The 25,583-nt window shown below is 36.2% G+C and overlaps 1 protein-coding gene across 8 annotated transcripts in view; it reads right to left on the bottom strand.

Moving 5' to 3' along the window:
- GRIK2 (glutamate ionotropic receptor kainate type subunit 2) overlaps window positions 1-25,583 on the bottom strand; it is a 676,376-nt gene that overhangs the window by 385,267 nt on the left and 265,526 nt on the right. For all 8 annotated transcript variants that reach the window (XM_047418681.1, NM_021956.5, XM_047418682.1 and 5 more), the window contains 2 exons: window positions 8,013-8,194; window positions 2,211-2,264 (listed from right to left, as the gene is read on the bottom strand). In XM_047418681.1, the coding sequence (XP_047274637.1) occupies window positions 2,211-2,264; window positions 8,013-8,194 (236 nt within the window). The remainder of the gene's footprint in view (window positions 1-2,210; window positions 2,265-8,012; window positions 8,195-25,583) is intronic.

The following is a 25,583-nucleotide window of genomic DNA, read 5'->3' as shown; positions in this document are numbered from 1 at the left end:
GGATTTATTGCCATTAGATCATAACCTCCCTTTGTCCAATAATTTTCCTACATAACTATCTACTCTTTATCAAACCAAAGCAAAAAAAAAAAAAAAATCCAGATTTTCCCATTTCTTTGAGTCTTCATTTCTGATGGCTTTTGTGTCACATAAAATTTATATTAAATACATTTTTAGGTGTTTCTCTTGTCAACCTCTCTTTTGTTATAGAGATCTCAGCCTTGAACCTCATGAAGTGTGAGGAAAAGAAATCTTTTCTCCCCTACAGCTGCCATTAAAGAAAGACCGGGCTGATGATTGACAAAAAGAGAATTCAAAGTGTGAGTGGAGACACAAAAATTAGAAGATATAAAACCTATTCAGGAGACTGATCCACATCAGTTCAGCTATAAATGAGAATTCCTAAAGGAGAATAGTAGCAAAAGGAAATGGGAAAGTTCGATTAGGATCAAAGTATAAAAGGCCTTCAAATGTAGGCCTATGAGTTCTATGTATCCTAAACTAGTTGTTTCATTTATTTTCCCTATTGAGAGATACTTTTGATTTCCCCAAAATCTTACGCTTATGCTGAGTTGTAACAGCACTGAAATATAATTTGCTGATGAGGGAATGCTCTCACTTCCTCTCCACCCCCACCACTAAGTTTCTTACAAGCTGCAAAAAGTTGTCTGCTAGGAAATAATATAGAGATATGCCAGAGCCAGCTTTGCTATTTTTAAGTAAAATACATCCTACTGCATGAATAATCTCCTTTGGAGGTAAGAGTTGTCATCACAGGAAGCTATTGCAATCAATTAAATTTTAATAATCTGATCTGGCAGCTTCAAGACTTCTAGAAGCAAGGAGACTAACTGGAAGAATTTCAAGTTAATGAAGAAAACTTTGGTTAGACTGGTTGTTATGGGAATGGAGAAGATAGATGCTAGAGACACTACAAAGGAAAAATCAGTAAAATTTTGTTGGTGATACAGGAGTCAACAAAAGTTGAAATTTTTAAGATAATCAGAAGAGACGTCAATTCAGAGGACACTAAAGTTTAAATATTTCGAAATTATCTAATGGCACAACAATTAAAAGTGTTTTACAGTATACAGTAATTCATAAATATTACATAGAACATTTAGACCTCATTCGAACGAAGATGTTAACTGAGGCTCTAAATACAAACCAGTTCTGAAGAAAATAATTGAAGAGAAAATAAGATTGGATGAAGTCCAAACTTGGAGATACTCATATTTGGGACATGTGGAAGAAAGAATTAGTAAAGAGACAGCTGTTTTACAGAGAAAGAAAGGTCAGGATAATGTATTGATAACAAAATGGAGCTAACAGTAAGTTTGATACAGGTTAAAGTCAGATTTTCATACATTATAAGGGAAAATTGTGTGATGGGTATGTGAAAACAAAATATAAAGGTAACATTCAATTTGCTGATGGCAAATTAAAGTATATTGACTTTTTAAAAAATCTAACTAAATACAGGCAAAAGCAGAATAGAAAATGTAATCTACTGAAAGGACAGCTTCAATACATCTGATTTTCAAAAAGTGAATACAGCTGAGATAACATAAGAATTTGTGCTTTTCTTGTCTTATTCTTTTCTTTTTTTTTTTTTCTAGATGGAGTCTAGCTCTGTCGCCCAGGCTGGAGTGCAGTGGCACTGTTGGCTCACTGCAACCTCCGCCTCCCAGGTCCAAGCAATTCTCCTGTCTCAGGCTCCCGAGTAGCTGTGACTACAGGCACCCACCACCATGCCCGGCTAATTTTTGTATTTTTAGTAGAGATGGGTTTCACCATATTGGTCATGCTGTTCTTGAATTCCTGACCTCAGGTGATCCTTCTGCCCCGGCCTACCAAAGTGCTGGGATTACAGAAATGAGCCACTGTGCCCGGCTGAATTTGCGCTTTTCTAAAGCACTGATTTCTCAGGAAACTAATTTCAAGATCCATTATATTCTGAAAGTTCTCTAAAGCAACATAAAAATAAGATATGCAATATTTTGAATTGATATCTGAAATGATATTATTTCAAAATCATCAGCTTCTATTAAGAGTTGTCCTCTCTGATAATAATTTTGGTGGAGTCTTATCAAATTAAAATATAACTACAAAGGAATCAGTCATAATACTTCTTACTAAAAAACCTATTTTTCATCTGAAAAAGTCATAATAATAAAATTCAGAACATTTTGTTTTAATGAAGTACTTACCAGAGTGGTAAAGATATAATGATAGTATTCTGTCATCATTCCCATAGCTAATGCCTAAGGAAAAAAAAAAATTACTGAAGGTACATATTTCAGGAAAGACAGTATGTCAGTAATTCAAGTGAGAACAAAATATAGTAGGATGTGATAAAGAATCAACCTACAATATTCATGTTACATACAATTAGGTTAAACTAAATCTTTTCCCAGTAGTTAAAGATTAGTGGTTACTGAAGGAATTTCTGAAGCAATTCTCTAGATAGAAAAGCTATTAGCTGAATGTTTGCAATTGTAAAGCTATGGCTTAACACATTAAAGAAGGCATTAAATTTGACACAAAACCTGAAATTAGCACATCTTAATTTGTTACATTCGTAACGTCTTCACTACAAATACTCCAATGAGGAACACCATTTTATTTTAATGAACAATATTACTGAATTAGGAAAAAAGTGCTGCAAAACACAATGCCAACAGGCATTTATTTTAGCTCTTTAGAGACATTTCCATAGCATTAATGAAGGAAATGTAAATTACCACTCTTATTTAAAAATTACATATAATTAAAGAAATGTTTTTGTTGTTATTAATAAACTAGTCACAAATTACTGTGTTTTATTTCACTCTTCTACAGTCCTCATCAATTTTAGACTGTCAATCTTAAAAACAAGGACTTTTGGGTTAGAACTTTTAGTTATAACAAGTGTCCATGTCATTTTCTCTCCAAAAATAAGAGAATGCTTTTGAAATAACTGCTTATCAATGAACAGCAGTTGGCAAGGATAATTAAAAAACAATGCATTTTTAGTTGAATGAAGAGTTCTTAGTAGGAAACAATTATTCTCAGGTACATCTAATAGCCTTCCAAAAGCCACTAACTACAAAAACTCATTTATGAAGTAGCTGCCTCAACTACATTCTGCATATAGAAATTAATGGGTTAAAAAATAGAAGGAATAAGATCTAGTATTTGATAGCACAATAGGTTGACTATAGTCAATAATAATTTAATTGTATATTTTAAAATAACCAAAAGAGTATAAATGGATTGTTTGTAACATAAAGGATAAATGCTGGCTGGGTGCAGTGTCTCACACCTGTAATCCCTGGACTTCGGGAAACCAAGGCAGGAGGACTGGTTGAGCCCAAGACCAGCCTTGGTAACATAACAAGACCCCATCTCTACAAAAAAAAAAAAAAAAAAATAGAAAAGAAAAATAGCCAGGCATGGTGGCACATGCCTTTAGTCCCAACTACTCGAGAAGCTGAGGTTGAGAGGGTCACGTGAGCTCCCAAAGTCGAGGCTGCAGTGACAGAGCAACACCCCATTACAAAACAAACAAACAAAAAACAGGGATAAATACTTGAGGTGATGGATATCCCATTTACCCTGATGTAATTATTACACGTTGTATGCCTGTATCAAAATATCCCATATACCTCATAAATATGTACACCTACTATGTACCCACAACAATTAAAAATAAAAAATAAAAATAAGAAAAGCATCATGCTCATAAATCAGCATTAACCAGTTAGGTAGGATAGAATTTGTAGTTCTGCAACATGAATTCTTTAAGAAGGAATAGATATTTGTGAAAAATTTGGAATGTATCAAATATATTTAAAAAGGGAGAAACATTGGTTAATGAAAGGTGGCATCAAAGAATTGAGCACAGGAAATTTAGGTATCAAATTACCAAATAATATTTCTTCAGTGGGTAATACTTATATAAACCAATAATATTCGGATTAAAATTTCATCTCAAGCAAAATAAGACAGAATTTCCCTTATTAAATACAAATTTACAAGATCATATTTGTAGAAGGCATTCATTGCTCCTGATGGATATGTTCAGATGGCTCCCTATCTCCAGTACCATTCAATGACAGCTCAATATTATGCTTGGCAATTTTTTTTACTTTATCAACTCTGTAGGTATAGAACTAGAGATAAAGGTAATTGAAAGAAATAACGATTCAGATGTATAACTAAAAATAATACTTATATAATGCTTAAAATTTGTCAGATACTATTCTAAGCACATTACATATTTAAGCCTCATAAAAACCCTAGAAGTCAGTCCTACTATTATGTTCATTTTATGGGTAAGGAAACTAGGACATGAAAAGAATGAATAAACTGTCCAACAAAGTGAGACAGTGAGTAAACATGGACTCCAGGTCTCTAATGTGGAGTTTGGAATCTATGTCATTTTCTAAAGTGGTATATTTCATATTCTCAAAGTTGTAGAACAATTTTTGACTCCATGCATTCTAAAATTTTTGCCTGTTCCTTCCTTGAAAATTTGAAAACATGGACGTCTCAGGCAAGTGCATCAAATTCTGCTTTGGTGTAGGGGAAGTTGTTGAGGAGATGGTGGAGAAGAAGATGATTTGTTCTGACATATGTATTTCCAATGGCTACAGGTTTTTCTTCATCACCTTGAGAAGAAATCTATGAGGGTAATTGGAGTCTGTTTCTGGCTTTCATTGACCTTCTCTCAGCTTTTGATTTTGAAAACAAGGATCAGTTAATGTGCTGTGATATATGACGTAGAAAACGCTGGGAGGCCAGGCGCGGTGGCTCATGCCTGTAATCCCAGCACTTTGGGAGGCCAAGGCAGGTGGATCACGAGGTCAGGATTTCAAGACCAGCCTGGCCAAGATGGTGAAAGCCTGTCTCTACTAAAAATACAAAAAATACGCTGGGCGTGGTGGCAGCTGCCTGTAATACCGGCTACTCAGGAGGCCGAGGCAGAGAATTGCTTGAACCCAGAAGGTAGAGGTTGCAGTGAGCCGAGATCGCACCATTGCACTTTAGCCTGGGCGACAGAGCCAGACTCCATCAAACAAACAAACAAACAAAATTGGAGGTAGAAATAGTAGTTATTTTTGATTAAGTACCTACATTGTAACCTTACTCAAAAAGAATGAACAACAGGAATACTCTCTTAAAAGATTAGTTAATAATTTCCAGTAGAATTTTTTTTTAAATAACTTGCTCTGGATCTGGTTTTAATTATAGCATGTCTTACTGCTACTTTTGAGTGAATTGTATGCACACTTCAAACATATTAGAGAGAATAAAATCAGTATGTTTTTATGCACAAATAATATAATAATTGCCTCAACATAAAAGCGGTTGTCATATCATCTCTCCTAAAAGAAATACTACAGATTAAATTTTCTAAAGTCAAAATATTATTAGAAACCCCAACATTAAGCTGGTGTAGTGCTATGCTATATGATGAATTAACACATGCAGTTATCTAGGCAGATAATATGCAACCAGTTTATTTTTCAGGTAAGATCCAGAAATCATATTGCTCAAGGTCAACAATATGAGGGGGGCCTATACACATTTCTTCAATTTTTACTTTATTTTACTTCACACCACTGTAGGATTTTATTAGCATTTTCTTTTACATTTTTTCCAGGCTAAAAGTTTTTATTTCACACTCTCTGATCTAAACTTTGAAGTTCCTGATTACTATTTTTTCCCTGTGATAGAATGTCCTTGTGAGGTTTTACTTCAGAGGATCTTGGCTCTGCCCTAGGGTATTTTCTTTGATAAATCTGGATGGAGGTAGAATCATCTGCTATGGAGGCATGCATGCCAATTAGTGTACTCAACTTGCCTCAGAGGAAATCTACTCAACCGCAAGCTCCACTCACTTTTAAAGCTTTCTAGCAGGAAAACTTCAAATTCACTGTTGTTCAATACCTAGTAAAAGCTCAATCAGTTTAAATAAATAAATTAAATAAATTACACAAACAAACGCACAAGAGTAAACTGATTAAGGCCATTTATTTTTCTGCATAGTCCTATTATTCATTCTTGGATGAAGCCAGACTAGCTGAAAGCTCATCTATTTTTGCTCTTCAACTCCTATACCATGTCTTAGGAGTTCCAACATCAGTGAATGTTCAGGAATCTCAGAAAAATTTCACAAATCACAAAATAGGACCCTATTAAATGCACTGCTGAATTTCCTAGAAGCTATTCACTTTCTTCTTGGTTACTAGAATAACTGGAAAATTCAAATGTGAGACAAAGTTAAAAATAACACCACCATATTTGTGGTCTTCTGGTATAGGACCTCAGAGGATGCATACTGTATAATAATGTCGCTCTGGATTCATCTCAACTTTCATATTCTCATTTTACCTATTTTCTAATTTTTCATCTACTGACCTTGTTAAAATTACATTTTTCTGTTATATGTATTTAAATATTCTATTATTTCTGTTTTCCTTTTGCAAACAAAGCATGTTTGCAAAGAACACATAAGAAAACAAGTATAAAATAATAAATATATCTAATAGAAGTCAGAAAGCAAGTTCAAATTTAAAGGTGACAGGCTTCTCACCTTCCAGATAGCAAAATAGTGAGAGTTAGTTCTTTAGAGAAAAGACAGCTGATCATTTACATACTTACTAGAAGCCTAGAGAAAGCAGCCAAAGCTCTGTCACTGAAATAGCTTAGTGCCACTCACTCCAGGAGTAAAGGAAAGGTCTCTTTTCCAAGCCTGTGTATTCAAACCATGATCAGGAATTGTTTGGGAATTATGTGAAATAAATCTTGACTCTAGAGTTCAGTAGTAATCTTAGTGCGTTGTTTTATTTGTTGCCAAAAAAACCCAAAAACTCTCATATGCTTCATTATCCAAAGATAAAACTATAGCAATTTTTCAAATCAAAGTAAATATTTTACTGTGAAAATCAACATTTATATTGGAATATTGGATAAACATCTGCTTAATAAATTAACCATGCTATAACAGGCATTTACTATTGGCAGTTATATTTAACGGGATATAATTTGACATCTGAATCTGCGTAACTCTCCAGTAGAAATATTTTGTCCTATACATGAGAGGTTTCTAAATGACTGACTAGTTCCAAGCTACAAAGGTGTCAGCTCAGTGTGCATAAAAGAGTTTAAGAAACAAAATCCAAAAATTTGTGTTCAAATCCAGGCTCTACTACATAGTAAGTGTAGGGCCTTGTTCTGGCCATTTAACTCCCAACTTCAGTTCCTTCATCTGTAAGATATGGACTGATAATAATTTCTGTTTTCCAGTTTGCTGTTAGGTCTGAATAATGCTGACATAATACTAAAAGATTTCACAGCTACAAATTGTTTTGTTTGATTGATTTAGAAGGTTTTGTTTGTTTGTTTGGTTGGTTGGTTGGTTTTTGTCAGGCAATGCTTTATTCTGGAATGAATACTTGTTAACATCATTAGGTTGGATATCAATCCCTCTGCTATGTTCTTGCTACTTGACATTGGTCAAGTTACTTGTTCATTTTGGGACTCAGTTTGTCTGTAAAGTAGAGATAGTCCCTACTTCTTTTTGTTGTAGTGATGATGAAATAAGATCAAATATATAAAGTCTCTTACAGTAAATATCAGGTAAATGGTAAATCTATTACATCTTTTTCCTACTGGCTGATTGTAATGAGTGAGCTGCTCAACTGGTTGACTCTTAGTTCCTTCCCTCATTTCAAAACAAAAAGAAATAACTATCTCATTAATCAACTATCTCATTAACCAACAGCATTGCAGTCATTTGAAAATAACCTCCAAACTTCCAACAACCCGTTTTGAAGATCATCAATGTTTACATTACTTTTCTTTTAAGACAATTAATTAAAAGCAATTGTCAGACTTTCTATCATAAAATTACATCAAGGTTATTATAACTGATTGCATAACAATAATATTTTGATTTAAAAGAAGATCATATTGTAAGTGCAAGTTTATGAAGAAAACAAGAATTGAAGTAATTTAAAGGTTACCTGTTTTAAAATGCCTGCTGCCATTTCATGGCTACAATCAAAGATTACATGAAACTCCTTGCCTCTTTTCATTTCTTTTAGTAAGGGTTTTGCATCCTTTGTATCAGCAGGTAACTGACGAATTTTGAGTCGAAGATTATACCTTGATGGAGCTTTGATGAGCTCTTGCAAACGAATGAGACCTTTAATTAAAATGGAAAAAAAAAAAAGAATATTAGAGATAAAAAATAGAGTAGGGCAAAGAATCAGAAAACACTCATTAGAATGTATAATTTTCTTCTTATTTCATTTTAATTTTTGTGGTTACATAGGTTTGTATATTATAAACTACATGAGATAGTTTGATACGGCCAAGAACGCATAATTTTCTTGACCATGTATAAGTGTATTTAATGGTGCAACTTGAAATTCCTGTTTCAAAACAATTCCATATCCTCTGTTATTTTTGTTAAAATAAACATTTCTCAAATTCTTTAAGACATTTTTCAAGTTATAAAAGAAACACATGACTAAAAGTTAATATAAATAACTTAAATGTATAAAAAGACATAGAGTAAAATAGTTTCCCTTTATACCCCAGTTCTACTCCCCTGCAGGCTGTCACTATTAAAGGCTTGAAATACTGTTTTTCCATAACACGTTCTGTGCGTTTACACGTGTACACACATAGCTTTGTTTGTATTGTATTTTACATTAATAATTGTTTTGTGATAATGCCTTAGAGGGCCTTGTAAGTCAGTGATTATTATTCTAGATTGCCTTTAATGAACACTGTGTTTTATCACGCACCTAATTTATGTAACTATTCCCTATTATTAGAAACTTTGGTTACTTGGTTTTCATCGTCAGTAACATGTAATGTTCTGGTGAATAACCTGGAAACTCAAGTTGGTGTATATGTAACAGTGAAATAACTTTCCTTAATAAAATAGATTTTAAATAGCCTGAACCATAATTATTTTAAAAAATAATGCTAACAATTTTTGTATTGTTTTCTAGTTAACAACATTAAATTAAAAAGTAAATATACCTGCACACATTTGTAAAGTAAGCATTCTCCTAGAGAAGTACCTGATAATTAAATTAAAAATATATCACATTAATGAATATATTTCCAATAAGTCATATAACTGTGATGCATTTTAAAATAAGAGAAAAATTATTGAATGTATTCCTTTATACAGTCTTCAAGTAATGAAACACATTAAAGAGCTGACACAAAAGATCCACTATATAAAAGAGTGTGAAAAGAAAAAAAGATCATCCAATTCCATTGCAGCTTGGATCAAATGAAGCAATTTTCTTTTCTCCTTCTACTCTTTCTTCTTATCTTTTAAAAATCTCATCTCTATACTAGTATCTATTTCTATTTTCCCTGAAAAACTACCTTCATCAATACAGTATGACAAACAATGATAAAGCAAAATATTTGTAAATAATCAGAAACTGTCTCTTTTTCCTTCTCTCTGTTTCTCGAGTGTGTGTGTGTGTGTGTGTGGTGTGTGTGTGTCTGCGTGTGCGTGCGCGTGTGCGTACATGTACTGTCTGTATGTATGTATACATACCTGTTACTTAACCTTTTTGAAAACAGGAGTAAATATAAATAAAAATAAATGGAGGGTAGAGGGAAGAGAGGGATGGAGAGGGGATGGTCAGTGGGTACAAAGTTACAATTAGAAAGGAAGAATAAATGCTGGTGTCCTGTTGCTTAGAAGGATTACTATAGTTAACAATAAGGTTTTATTTACTTCAAAATAGCTAGAAGATTTTGTCTGTTCTTATCACAAATAAATGATAAATGTTCAAGGTAATGGATATGCTAATTACTCTAATGTCATCAGTACATATATACATATGTCAAAACATTACATTATACTCCATAAATATGCAAAATTATTATGTATCAATTAACAATAAAAAATGTGAATTCACAAATATACTTGGTATATTTTGTTTTAAAAACACATGGCCCCATAAAGTTGCTTCACTGTAAGTTATACAGCTTCTACACCTAACAGCTTCTACACATAACAGCTGCAAAAATTGCATGGTAAAATAGTATTACCACATTTTGTTTTGCAAAGTTAAATATTTACTAATGCTATTTAAATAAATACTACATAAAAATTGATATTAAATGCATCCATTAAACATACTACAATAAGTTCTAGAGAAGTAAGATGTGTTTAATGAGTACAGGTGTTAACATTGAGCTGTAAAGAAACAAAAATAGGTACTTGAACTTGTAATACCTGCTAGAGTTTAATGTTCGGCTATGACGTCCTTCCAAACATATATGTACAGAAAACTATACATTCAGAAAACTATATATTTCTTTGAACATGGGAGTGCTCTGCTACTAAATTAGAGTACATTTTACAAGGTAACTCTTTAACTACTTTTTATAAATAAACCAGAGTATTCTTGCAGTAAGTCAGTAGTTCCTACACTTTGAAAGGTGTGGCAGTAATCTGTGGAGCTGCTTACAATCTAAACAACCAATTTAGAATCTTCAGAGGGTAGAACTCATGCATGCATATTTTAACCAATCTTCCCAGATGACCTTCTTGGTCATAAAAGAATGAGGCCAATTTCCAAATATAGGCCTGGTTTCACCTGGTTTTAGGTGTCATACGAGAGCCAGTCTTTGAACCACTTTGGCATAGCAGTCATACAGGATAGTAACTATATTATACTAACAGGACAATAAAATAATTAATTCAAAGCAAGATTCTCAACTTCATAAAGGTGAGTCAGAAAACCATAAATACAACTAACTGCAGAAAAAAGAGAAAAAATATTCATTTAATAATGCATCTAACAAATGTGTATGACTTATAATCTTCTTACTGTAAGTCCAACATTGTTCTCAACATTGGGTAGAACAATTCTGAGAAGTGTCTTTTCATGTCATTTGCCCATTTTTTAATGGGGTTATTCTTTCACTATAGAAAGACAAAATCAGATGAAGTTTCTGTGCATACAATACTAAAAGTATACAGGGGAAAATGATATTAAGCAAGTAACTACAAATGAAGACTGGCAAATAATATTTTGGTTGGAAAGAACACATCATTGAGGAATCATATACAGGATAATCTAACTCAGAGTGGGAGGACTCAGGGGAAATTATTCCAAAGGAGGTGACATCCAAGTTAATACATGAATAAAAAGAGAAAGAGTCAAAGGAATGCATATAGAAGAATAAACAGTTTTTATATACTGTCATGGAAGTGAGGGAGCAGGTCAGAGAATCTTATGAAGCAAAGAAGAATCAGTGACAAGCCCAGCTGTAGATGCAAGCACGGGGCTGCTTCAGAAGCTTTTGTAAAATACTTGAAAGAATTGGGGCTTTAACCTAAGAGCTGTGAAAAGTGCCCACTTGGAATCTGTAGTTCAAAAGAATTGCTCAGATTATGGAGGACCGATGAGAAGAACCGGGGAAAGAAATAGTTGGATTTTTAATAAAACCCATGCTGGCTAGTGTGAGATGGTATCTCATTGTGGTTTTAATTTGCATTTCCCTAATGATTAGTGATATTGAGCATTGGTTCATATGTTTGTTGGCCACATATATGTCTTCTTTTGGAAGTGTCTTTTCATGTCTTTTGCCCATTTTTAAATGAGGTTGATTATTTTTTGCTTGCGGACTTGAGTTCCTTGTAGATTCTGGAAATGAGACCTTTGTCAGAGATATAGTGTGCAAATATTTTCCATTCAGAATGACTATTATTAAAAAGTCAAAAAGTAACATGCTGGTGAAGTTGTGGAGAAAAGGTGGGAATGTAAATTAGTTCAGCCACTCTGGAAAGCAGTCTGGAGATTTCTTAAAGAATTTAAAACACCATTCAACTCAGCAATCCCATTAATGGGATATACCCAAAGGAATATAACTCTACCATTAAAAAACATGCATGTGTATGTTCATCGCAGCACTATTCATGATAGTAAAGATGTGAAATCAACCTAGATACCAGAAAATGTGGTACATATACACCATGGAATGCTACACAGCCATAAAAATGAGACCATGGCCTTTGCAACAACACAGACAGAGCTGGAGTTCATTATTTGAAGTGAACTAATGACTGAAAAACTGCCTATTGGTATTATGCTGATTACTTGGGTGACAAAATTATGTGTACACCAAACCCCCACAACACAAAATTTACCCATGTAACAAACCTGCACATGTACACCTGGAAACTAAAATAAAATTTGGAAAAAAAAACACATAAAAATAAGGAATAAAATCAAATCGTTAGAAGATAGTAGTGATAATGTAAGAGAGGTAAGATGCATAGTCAGGGCAAAATATCAGGCAGAAAAAATGTGGATGGAATACTGAGATATTTATAAGAAAAGATGATTGAGATCACTTGGTGAGGAAGAGATCAGAGTCTGGGAAGTTTCTGACTTCTGGTTGGGCATCTGGAGAGAGAGGGTGCTTTCACTGAGTGTGAGATCATGGGAGGACCATACAATTGAGTCAAAATGAAGGGAGTGATCAGCCATGTCAAGGGTTGCTAACAAACAAATCTCAGTAAGCACTTTTTAAAAAATGATTATTGAATTTAACAAGATCATTGCTGTTCCAGGCAAGGGTAGTTTCAGAAGGGTTGTGCGGGTTGGTTGTTGTGTCATCAGTGGGAGGGAGGTAAAATACAAACCGCCACTCAAAATCACCTTCATATATTTCCATAAGATAGTTTGAGCATCCATCCTAGCCATATCTAATACCCTTGTAGGAAAGTATCAGCCCCTCTCTAATCGATCATCAGTAGCAGATCCATGAGACACCTTAATTTCCATGTCTTCTAAATGAAAGTTTTATCTAGATCAGCAGCTCTCGAAGTGGCTCCACAGACACCTGTACCCTTCAGAAGGGTCCCTGAAGTCTAGCTATTTTTAAATAATACTAAGTAGTTTTTGTTGTTGTTTTTGATATAGTCTCAGACTCTCACCCAGGCTGGAGTGCAATTGCGCGATCTTGGCTCACTACAACCTCCGCCTCCTGGGTTCAAACAATTCTCCTGCCTCAGCCTCCCGAGTAGCTGGGATTACAGGTGCCCACCATCACACCCGGATAATTTTTGTATTTTTAGTAGAGATGGGGTTTCACCCTGTTGGCCAGACTGGTCTCGAACTCCTGACCTCACGATCCACCCGCCTTGGCCTCCCAAAGTGCTGGGATTACAGTCGTGAGCCACCGTGCCCAGCCCTTCTTTGTTTTTTTAACTTCCATTCTCTCACACATGTGCAGTGGAGTGTTCCAGACGTTACAGGACATGTGATGTTACAACAGATTGAATGAGGAAGCAGATGTGAAAATCTAGCTGCCTCCCATTAAACTAAATAGTAAAGAGACTTATAAGTATATAAAATAATGCTACCCTTCTCACTTTTTTTTTTGTTTTGGAACATCTAGGTACTTATCATAAAAATATAATATTTATGTGAAGAGGTAGTTTACTATTGTTATTAAATAACTAATAATGAATTTAATGTTCCAATTTTTATTGCTAATATGGTATCAAGGAATATAGCACATATTTCAAATACTTTTAGAGTTATTCAATAATTATTAAGGATGTAAAGTGGTACTAAAACGAAAATGTCTAAGAATTGCTAATTTAGATTACCCCTAAATTGTTCCCATTTTAAATTTCTATCATTCTCACAAAATTATTTCCATAAATGCAGAATAATCAAATAACAACCCTAGGTGAATAAAGAAAATAAAAATTGCTTTTGCCCTACTTACCTCACAAGATTTTGTGAGCGTCAAATGTAAATTTGGGGGATTTAGTCTATTATAGCTGGGGTGTTGGGTTTGAATCTCAGTTCAAAATTTTACAATCCGTGTGGCTTTGTGCAAGGCACTATGTTACTCTCAGCTTTGATATATTTTTCTCTATAAGAAGGTAAAATCATCTATGGTTTAACATGTAAAACTCTGAAAAATAAACTGGCATATATTAGACTCTCAGTAAATGGCTGTTTGTCATTATGTTTATATTGGGTAACATGGGAAAATATTGTATTAAAAATGTACTAGCTACTATCTCTATTTTTGGATGATATTTTGACACTGATTTAGATAGAAAACCTAACATTAGAATTAAAAAACATTAAGAAATTAACTCATTGCCAAAGGAAAGGCGTTATATAGTTACATATTAGCTCATAAGTTTTGAATTGAAAAAGCTCAGCTGACCCCAAAATAGAAATTTTCTGAAAATAATGTCCACAAATAGTTTTTGTAGAGTTCATCCTAAGGATAAACACTGCCAAGTATTTTCAAGTCTCTTAAGAGCTCATGTTGATAGTCCATTGAGCCATCAGGTACAATAAATGTTTACTTATTCTCTTCACACTCATACATCTCTGCTGGCATTAATGTAACAGATTTCAGTTTGCCAGTTTCCCTGGGGAATAACATTGAAGAGTGAAAAAAAGATAAAAACCTCACTACTAGTAGGACCTGCCGTCTCCTACTTAAAAATTTGAGTAAAATGTTATCTTCATTCATTCATTCCACATATATTTTTTGCACATCCACTATGTGTAAGACACTGATCCTAGATAAATATAATGACTGGAATAATATTACTTATTCAGTCTTCAACTGCATGAGATACAGTTTGACTCTGGCATTTTTTTTAAGTACAAAAGCAGTTTCTATAATGCTTTTCACATTCAATGTTTTAAAAAAAATGGCTTACTATTTCAATCAGACAGAAACAGTCTAGAGAACAGTTTAAATACAGAATGCAGAATCATTATTTTTAAATTCTCACTTTCCATCAACTCCTGCACCAGGAGTTGCTTAGAATCTTCTCTTAGCTTCTAAGCCTCTCTTGTTCTGTCCCATGATATTATTTCTCATATTTCCATATTTATTTTCATTCTTAATCCTTTGCTTTCCTTATTCCCTGACATTTAGATACAAGTCTCTGAATTCCATTATTTAGCACACTCTAGAAAAATGGAAGATGGTTGACAAAAAGAAAGATGCATTCAAGACATCCAAAAAATAGATGTTTATCCACCCATTTTATGTGAAATACACAAAGGCATTCCTGTAGTATAACTTATGTGGATGAAGGTTTTTATCCAAAGAAGTATGGACTTAAGTAGCAGCAATGTTTTTAAATTACATTATTGGCTATATATTTATTTCTGTGGGTCTATATCCATCTTTTCACCAGCCATGTCTTCTCTTTGCAACTCATCATGTTCTAAAAATGCCAATTGCAGAAAAGATTACCCTAATCAGACATATCACACACAAGCAAATATGCATACTTGGTAAAATGAGAGGTTTTTCTCTTTTAGGAAAAAATAAGTCTCTCAAAATAATTGAGATGGTTTATATGTCTTCCTATCCTACAGTCCATTGGTCAAAATGAAGAAATCAATGGACGCTTTGATTTGATGAAATAAAAAGGCAAAATTAATTTTGCTGAAAATGTGGTTAATATAAATAATTTACAAACAAACATTTTCAGAATTATTCTTTACTAACAAATTTGGTGCCTATTTAAATTGTTAAATTATTTAATGACAGAGTAGAATTATAACTCCTTAAAACAGCCTTTTAATTAAAGTGTCCCCTTCTTCCCTAATGTAATTAATTGATGTAATGATAGTAAAAAACAAACAATCTGCACAGATGGGCTCCACAAAACCTTCTAACAAAAAAGGGTACCACATTGCAATTATCCTTATATTTTGGTAGATGAGTAACATTCTATTACCTCTAATTCCTTCACTAAGAGTACAGTACTGTTATTTTTTTTTAACCTTTTTCTACTTTTACTTATTTCAGTAGTAGCTGAAATCAAGGTTTGTCTTTATCTTACAGGGACAGAGGGCTGAGCTGCTCTTTTAAGAGACTGTCATCAATTTAGCTTTTAAGGAGAATCCAGGAGGAGACATTTATGCACACTGCAGCTGGCACTCTCTTCTAAAGAGATTAATCACACCACTTCTACGGCAGGCCTCGACTACCCTATCCCCAGGAAGGGAGTCCCAGGTTTCCTCCCATACCCAGGTATCCATTTTGGCAGCTACACAAACTAGTGATTTGCCACCTGGCTTAATCATCAGGCCTATTTATCATTTCAGTCAGTCTTTATGCAAGCTCAGACTCAACCCAAAATGCATTGTATTATAAGCTACACAAAAATGATTCATCTATATTCCATGTTTCATCATCATCTTTTTTTTTTCAGTTGAGAAAAGATAATAATTTATTCAGAAGCCAAAGTATGGCCTTTCAAAGAATTAATTTTATTAGAATGTATGTGGGCTACAGAAATGTTTTAAAGCTAACTAAATAGTGCATATGTACCAGCTATGGATTTTGTAATGTGTGGCAATGCTGTAAAAATAGAGAAGAGAGCTAACTATAATGAGAAAATTTAAAATGGTTTGACACAAGTAGTAGATTGGCACTGAAACAAAATCCAATCTCCAATTTTTTATCAGCCATTCTCTCCTTCTGGAGGTGGGTGGTGATGCGGATTTTTTCTGTACAGAGAACATTGAAAACAGAGATAATTGGGGCTTAGAGAAATAAGAGAGAAGAGAAAAGGAAATGAAAGGAAATCTTCAAAGAGTTTTTCACCTTCTCAGAGGAGGAAAAGAAAGCTATACAAAATAGAATTGGAGGGCTAGTCTCCTTGGGACATACTCAAGTCTGAATGCTAATTTTACAGAGATATTGCCTTCTTTCTTTGAAATTTTCTTTATTTTAAAATTATGATATAACCTAGTAAATTGAAGACCCAGAACATGTTAAAACATTTTAGCTTGATACATTATAAACCAAGTGGCAAATGAGTTTTAACTTGCATGTCAGGGATAATTGATTATTTGTAGCTAAATGAAGCACTGTGCCAAGAATCTTTCTGAGTCCAGTTCTGTGTCTAGGGGCATGTTTCAATACGGGATCTGACCCAGGTGGTGGGATAGGCATGGTGGGATTATATAATGGTTATCCCCATATTAAAATCTCTTGATTATTTTTAATGATATTAAATCATATCCATTATATTGTTTTATTAATGGCAAAGCCCTTCCACGCTTTGTAACAAAAATCATAATAATAATACAGTATAGATGATACATTCTAGGCACTATGTTCTCTTCGAAGCCAGGACACACTTGATAACCTTGAACCATGATACATTCAAATAAATAGAATTCCAGCAGGAATTCAGACCTTTACAATCCCATGAAAACATTTTAAAAGTGTACAAATTTATAGTCAGTTGCAACTAAAATCCTGTATTTTTTTCTCTTCTCAAACACACCCAAATCCTGAAAACACACTTTGACACTTAATACATGTACATGTGTATGTGTGTACACACTTAGAATCATACACATACATACTTCCTTTGCTTCTGTTTTCCTGGAAGTCTAGTTTACCTCTTCCCTAACTTCCTTCCACAGGAGAATTCGGCCATTATGTTTTTGTTTTTTCTACTCCACTCCCATTTGTAAACTTCCATACCAGAAATGCTCACAACCCTGATCTAGCAAAGCAGAAGCCTCTCAGGAAAGCCTAAGTGGGAGAGTCACTAACTAGACACCCTTTTGTAGGTAAGTCATGGAGAGCGGCTGAAACCCACAGGATGATCTTATATGTGGCATAACAATGTCAAATTTTAGAATCATATAAGTGGCATGGCAGCCCGTGGCAGGCAGATTCAGGCTGAATCCCAGGTCATTAACTCTCTCCTGAACAAATATAGACAAAGGTATTTAAATGTTTTAAACTTTAGTTTTCTCCCTTATAAGCATTTGATAATAATAATTATTACCATATAGGAAAAATCAAATGAACAAATCACTTAGCACTGTGCTTGGCACATGTTAACCCTTTTCATTGGTTCTGTTAACTGCTTTTCCTTTGGATCCCAGGATGGTATATATGTGTCTCAACAGGCCCTACTTGATCTCAAAATCTTGCCTGCAGTCCTGTAAGGGGTATCTTTATCAAAATGTTTTCATTAAAACCATCTAAGTGAATTTTACTTTCTGCTAGGACTCTAATACACTGTCTGTACGCTGGCATATCTCTTACCAGTCCACTTTCTCAAACTCTAGACTTTTAAATTCACTTTTCTATTTGGCATCTGTGTAATAAAGAATTAATTTTACCTAAAGAGAGATCCGGCCTTTGCCATTAGCTCCTGGGAGACACTCTCTAAGCCTTTGCCATGTCCTATCTAACAAGAGTGCTTTTGTTTATTTGGGCACCTTGGGCTAACAATGTGATTAGTCAAACAATGTGATTCATGGTAGAGGCTTTGAGCTATGTGGCATCAGCTCAAGTTCTGGAGGGGTTGGAGACTACAGGTCAGCCAAGTGGGTGGCCAGTCATGTCTACATGATTAAACCCTAATAAACACTTAAGACATTCAAGCTCTAGTGAGCTTGCCTAGTTGGCAATACTACATGCACATTGTTACAGGTCATTGCCTGAAGAAGTGAGCACTGTCCACAAATCCACTGGGAAAGAACAACTGAAAAGTCTGGGCACGGACCTCTCCTGGACTCTTCCCTATGCACTCCTTCCGTTGGCCAATTTTAACCTACATTGTTTTGCTGCTATAAATTGTATCCATGAGTATAACAGCTTTCAGTCCACTCTGTGACTCATTCTAGCAAATTATCAAACTTGAGAGTAATCTTTGGGACCCCTGAAATTGCAACTGGTGTCAGAAGTGAAGGTGGCCTTGGAGGCCCTTGAACTTTTCAGCTGGTGTTAAAGTGAGGGTGGCCTTCAGGGTGCCTAAATAATGCTACGTCTCTATTTTGATGATTAATAGATACTACAAACAGTATTCCCAAACTAGTTCTCCATCTCTGTACCCTCCAAAGCTGCTCCTCCCTCAATCATCTCTAAGTAGGATAACAGCAACTCACCTTTCCAGTTACTCAAATAAAAAATAGAGGTGTCACCTTTGATGGCATTCTTTCTGGCACAACCCATATCCAACATTTTAGAAAATCCCATCAGATCTACCTTCAAAAATACCTAGAAAATGACCAACTCTTACCTCTTCTAACATACTGGACTAAACTAACATAGTCTCTCAAATGGATTCTAACAAAAGCCTCCTAACTAGTATTGCTCCTATATATTTGTATATCCAACAGCAATTCATAACCTTTAAGGTTTATTTTTAAAATATAGAGAACTTAGTGACAGAAAGGTGGGAATAAAGAAGGCAGGAACTTGCCAAGGATGTTTTGATGCAGTATTAAACACATGAAATCACCTAGGTGAAACCATATTCAGTGTCTACTAGAATATAAAATTTTAGATTTGACTCAATATACAATGAACTCCAAAGCAGACATACACTATGACAGTGGCTGTGCTTCTCTTGGCCAGGTGGAGGGAGTTACTGTGATTCCAAACAACCAGTCTTTTCATAGAAAATTGTATAGTAAACAGCATGGAGAACAGAATGCAGTCCTACTAGGTGGTGTCTTAGATATAACCAGAAGTTTCAGGTTCTGGATGGGGGAAGCAGTAGGGTTAAGGAAAATGAAGTGGACAGAGAGTGCCAGAACTCCCATCATATGATTGAGGCTGGGCCCAATATGCAAGACTAGCCCTATAACAATGCCAAGGAGCACCTACCTGGTCATAGCCAGGGCTAAACTGAGGTGTTATATGGAGTGTATCTGTGATTCCAGCAGAGAAATGTTAAGGAAGGCAAGGGCTAAGATATTTAGCTGTGTCCCCACGCAAATCTCATCCAGAATTGTAGCTTTCCTGATCTCCACATGCCATGCGAGGGGCCCAGTGGGAGGTAATTGAATCATGGGGGTGGGTTTTTCTATACTGTTCTCATGTTAGTAAGTCTCACAAGAACTGATTTTTTGTTGTTGTTTTTTATAAAAGGGCTGTTCCCTTGAGCATCCTCTCTTGCCTGCCACCATGTAAGATGTGCCTTTGCTCCTCCTTAACCTTCTACCATGATTGTGAGGCCTCCCCAGTCATCTGTGAGTCCATTAAACCTCTTTCTCTTTAGAAATGGCCCAGTCTTGGGTATGTCTTTATTAGCAGTGTGGGAACAGACTAATACAGGCTGCCAGCCTGATTATGACTTATAAAGTCAATATGCTGTTTCTGTTTCTGCTTTCACTGATATGAAAAAAAGCAATTATGCCATTATCAAAAAGTAAGCAGTGCTTTTGGCCATGCCAAGGCTAAAACCTTTTGGCTTCTAACACTTTAGGGTCTAAGCTCAGTATATGCTAATTTCAATTTTCTCTTCAGAATATTTCAGTTTGTGAGAAGCCAGTAAAATTAATGTTGCATTTTAATTCTATCTCTTTGCTTATTGCTATTAAAATTTGCTTGCATCTCAATCGTGAGAGAAATAAGCACATTAGCGACTGATATAAGAGCTGTGCTTGCTGGAGCACCAGTCATGGACAGTGGCTTAGTTCTTTGCTGACCAAAGCCTAGACCCATCCTATTATCTATTTCTTTTTTGTCCTGTTTGTACAGCTGCTGCACATGGGCTTATATTTGGTATAATGAGATGGGGCAGATAAAAAGTTGGACAGTTTAGTGAAAAAGCAGTTGTATTTGTCAGGACTATCTTGGTAATATGTGCAGGCCCAATTCACACTACACTGAGCAAAAAGGTAACTCATTGTCTCCCATAACTGAGAATAAACTCCAGGCATGGTTGAAACAAGGAATTCTTTGTTTCTCTGTTCTCTTTTCCTCTGTTACCTTAATTACTCCTTCCCTTTTTCCCATTTTATAACACAGATGACAATCAGAATTTCACACTCATAAAAAGATATTTTCCTCAAAAGTTCTGTCAGTATCCTAGGAAGGCCTCTGTCCCAGACTGGTGTGATTTGGTGGGAGTAGAGAGTTGCAGTTAGGTTAGATGCCTACCGAATGGCATCAGTGGGTGACTGAAGCAGCCTCGCCTGAACTACATGGACTGCGAAGATTCCCTCAAAGGGATTCTGGGCACACAGACACCTACACAAACACAACCCAGAAATGCATCACAGCAATGTTTTAGAAACTCTTTAACAGGATTATTGTAACTTTGGTCTGTGTGCAGAATTTGGTAATATTTTGATTTAATGGTTGTTTATAATCAGTCACTCTTATTTTTCACCAAACGGGCATCTTTTTAAAAGAAGACACAGAGGTAGTTGCTTAATAATTAAACAAAGACAACAAGCATAATCCAGAAGCATCCTGTATATTTCTTCTCCTGTATATTTCTTCTCCTACTTCACCATACTTCATCATCTGCTATCCTGGCGGTGTGACTGACTCACCCTCAGTGGGACCAACACACTTCATTGTTCAATTCTGATGGCCACTTCACAGGCACTTTTGTCTCCTGACAACCTGTTCAGATGTACGCCTGTCTTACTGTCGCTCTCACTGCCCTCTCAGCTTGTGATAACCCAACTTCAGCTCTCCAGACAGCGGCTGATTAGGTAGCCTGCTGTTCTTTAATCCCCACTTGTGCTCAAGTCAATGCAGTTATGAACGGCAAATGATCCTTCACAGCTCTTATTCTGGCTATGTCCCAGGATGCTGCTGTTATTGGTTTTATACTGGCACTTAATACATCAAATATGATTTAACGTTGACATTGATGAAAGAGCTTATGATGTTTTATGTTGCTGGGCTCATGACTAACAATTATCAGAACTTTTATGTCCTGGTGGGAATGCCAAGTAGAACGTAACTCTTTAGAATCTCAGGTTTTATTTTATCTTCTTGTCCCAGAAATAATATCATCAACCCCAAAGTCTTTAGTAGTTGTGCTTATTGAACATACATGTTATCTTATGAATGATTAAAAGATGTAAATGTATCAGGAATACATGACAGCACATATTGTGTATTTTGAATTGAGAATACAGAAGTGAAATTAAAAAATATAAATGGTATATGTTCACCACCTGTGAGATTATAGGGTGGTGGTGGTGAGACAGATATGCAAATCATTTTTCTTCAATGACTTATGTACAATAATGTGAGAATCTCCAAAGCACGATAGAAGTGTTCAGAATGGGTAACCATTTAGCAAGTGGACAAGGATGGGTGATTACTGTAGAAATAGAAAATAGCATATAGAAAACACCATGGTATGAGAACATAAAAAGTTAAAATGTCTTCTGTGGTGTTTGGTGGAGAGATGGGGAATCAAGCAGAAGCTGTGACAGTAGAAGGTGAGGCTGACCAGTAGCTGGTAAAAAACACTTATGAAGGGTATCATGTTAGACTGCACTTTCCAAGAGAAGGAGTTTCATAGTTGCAATCAGTTAAAACATAATTCAGGATTAAGCTAAAAAATAATTTGACTTAAACAGAAAAATCTAGGCAGTTTCTTGAAACTCAAGTGTGGCAATTCAGTAAGTCCTTAGAAACAGAAACAAGGAGAAGCGAGCCTATGAAGATGTCACCTTCTTTCACTTCTGTTCTTCTTAGTGTTTCTGTTTCATTATTTTCTTTCTAACTAGACCAGCTTTCTCTGCTTCACAGTTCACACAGAAGACATAGCCATCATTCAACTACTGAGTCCAGCAATTGGAAGAGACTAATCTTTCTTCATCACAATTCCAAATTTCTAGAAGAAAGAATATAATTGGCCCAGCTGTTTTAACCCTTGGTATAATCAACTGCAGCCAGGGGCATAGATTTACTTTAATGTATGAACATTACTGCCTGGGCCTTACCTCTGAGGGTGAGGAAGCTGGAGTATTCTGTGAGTTAGGTAAATACTTACCCTGCCCACTGTGAAATCACTGAAGAAATTAAGAATGATATAAACAAATTTTCTTGTTATAAGATCACTTTGGTAACTGGGAAGATGGCCGAATAGGAACAGCTCCGGTCTGCAGCTCCCAGAGAGATCAATGCAGAAGGCACTGCATTTCCAACTGAGGTACCCAGCTCATCTCATTGGGACTAGTTAGACAGTGGGTGCAGTCCACGGAGGGCAAGCCAAATCATGGTGGGGCATCGCCTCACACGGGAAGTGCAAGGGGTTGGGGAACTCCCTCCCCTAGCCAAGGGAAGCCATGAGAGACTGTGCTGTGAGGAAAAGTGCATTCCAGCCAAGATACTATGCTTTTCCCACAGTCTTCACAACCACCAGACCAGGAGATTCCTCAGGTTCCTACACCACCAGGGCCCTGGGTTTCAAGCACAAAACTGGGCAGCCATTTGAGCAGACACTGAGCTAGCTGCAGGAGTGTTTTTTCTTACCACAGTGACACCTGCAATGCCAGCAAGACAGAACCGTTCACTCCCCTGGCAAGGGGGCTGAAGTCAGGGAGCCAAGTGGTCTAGCTCAGCGTATCTCACCCCCACCGAGCCCAGCAAGCTAAGATCCACTGGCTTGAAATTCTTGCTGCTAGCACAGCCATCTGAAGTCAACCTGGGATGCTTGAGCTTGGGGGCAGGAGGAGCGTCTGCTATTACTGAGGCTTGAGTAGGCAATTTTCCCCTCACAGTGTAAACAAAGCCGCTGAGAAGTTTGAACTGGCTGGAGCCCACTGCAGCTCAGCAAAGCCACAGTGGCCAGATCGCCCCTCTAGATTCCTCCTCTCTGAGCAGGGCATCTCTGAAAGAAAGGCAGCAGCCCCAGTCAGGGCTTATAGATAAAACATCTGTCTTCCTAGACAGAGCACCTGAGGGAAGGGGCAGCTGTGGGCACAGATTCAGCAGACTTAAACATTCCTGCCTGCTGGCTCTGAAGAGAGCAGCAGATCTCCCAGCATAGCATTCGAGCTCTGCTAAGGAACAGAATGCCTCCTCAAGTGGGTCCCTGATCCCCATGCCTCCTGACTGGGAGACACCTCCCAGCAGCGGTCAACAGACACCTCATACAGGAGAGCTCCAGCTGGCATCTGGCAGATGCCCATCTGGGATGAAGCTTCCAGAGGAATGAACTGGCAGCAATCTTTACTGTTCTGCAGCCTCCACTGGTGACACCCAAGCAAAAAGGGTCTGGAGTGGACCTCCAGCAAACTCCAGAAGACCTGCAGCAGAGGGGCCTGACTGTTAGAAGGAAAACTAACAAACAGAAAGGAATGGCATCAACATTGACAAAAAGGAGGTCCACACAAAAACTCCATCAGAAGGTCACCAACATCAGACACCAAAGGTAGATAAATCATCTAAGATAAGGAAAAACCAGCACAAAAATGCTGAAAATTCCAAATACCAGGATGTCTCTTCTCCCGCAAAGGATCACAACTCCTCACCAGCAAGGGAATAAAACTGGAAGAGAATGAGTTTGATGAATTGACAGAAGTAGGCTTCAGAAGGTGGGTAATAACAAACTCCTCCGATCTAAAGGAGCATGTTCTAACCCAATGCAAGGAAACTAAGAACCTTAAAAAAAGGTTAGAGGAATTGCTAATTAGAATAACCAGTTTAGAAAAGAACATAAATGACCTGATGGAGCTGAAAAACACAGCACGAGAATTTCATGAAGCATACACAAGTATCAATAGCTGAATCAAACAAGTGGAAGAAATGATATCAGAGATTGAAGATCAACTTAATAAAAAAAAATGTGAAGACAAGATTAGAGAAAAAAGAATGAAAAGGAATGAACAAAGCCTCCAAGAAATATGGAACAATGTGAGAAAACCAAACTTATGTTTGATTAGTGTGTCTGAAAGTGATGGGGAGAATGGAACCAAGTTGGAAAATATTCTTCAGGATATTATCAAGGAGAACTTCCCCAACCTAGCAAGAGAGGCCAACATTCAAATTCAGGAAACACAGAGAACACCACAAAGATACTCTTCGAGAAGAGCAACCCCAAAGACACATAATCGTCAGATTCACCAAGGTTGAAATGAAGGAAAAAATGTTAAGGGCAGCCAGAGAGAAAGATCTGGTTACCCACAAAGGAAAGCCCATCAGACTAACAGTGTATCTCTCTTCAGAAGCCCTACAAGCCAGAAGAGAGTGGGGGCCAATATTCAGCATTCTTAAAGAAAAGAATTTTCATCCAGAATTTCATATCCAGCCAAACTAAGCTTCATAAGCAAAAGAGAAATAAAATCCTTTACAGACAAGCAAATGCTGAGACATTTTGTCACCACTAGGCCTGTCTTACAAGAGCTCCTGAAGGAAGCACTAAATATGGAAAGGAAAAACTAGTACCAGCTACTGCAAGAACATAACAAATTGTAAAGACCATCGACACTATGAAGAAAGTGCATCAACTAATGGGCAAAATAACCAGCTAACATCATAATGACGAGATCAAATTCACACATAACAATATTAAAATGTAAGCAAAAAGAACAAAGCTGATGGCATACTGCTACCTGACTTCAAACTATACTAAAAGGCTACAGTAACCAAAAGAGCACGGTACTGGTACCAAAACAGATATACAGACCAATGGAACAGAACGAGGCCTCAGAAATAACATCACACATCTGCAAGCAACTATCTGGACAAACCTGACAAAAAACAAGCAGTAAGGAAAGGATTCCCTATTTAATAAATGGTGTTGGGAAAACTGGCTG

This window comes from Homo sapiens, chromosome 6 (assembly GCF_000001405.40).
Source record: "Homo sapiens chromosome 6, GRCh38.p14 Primary Assembly".
Classification (NCBI taxonomy): domain Eukaryota; kingdom Metazoa; phylum Chordata; class Mammalia; order Primates; family Hominidae; genus Homo; species Homo sapiens.
Note: the sequence above shows the minus strand (reverse complement) of the source record. Positions and strands in the feature narration are given on the sequence as shown.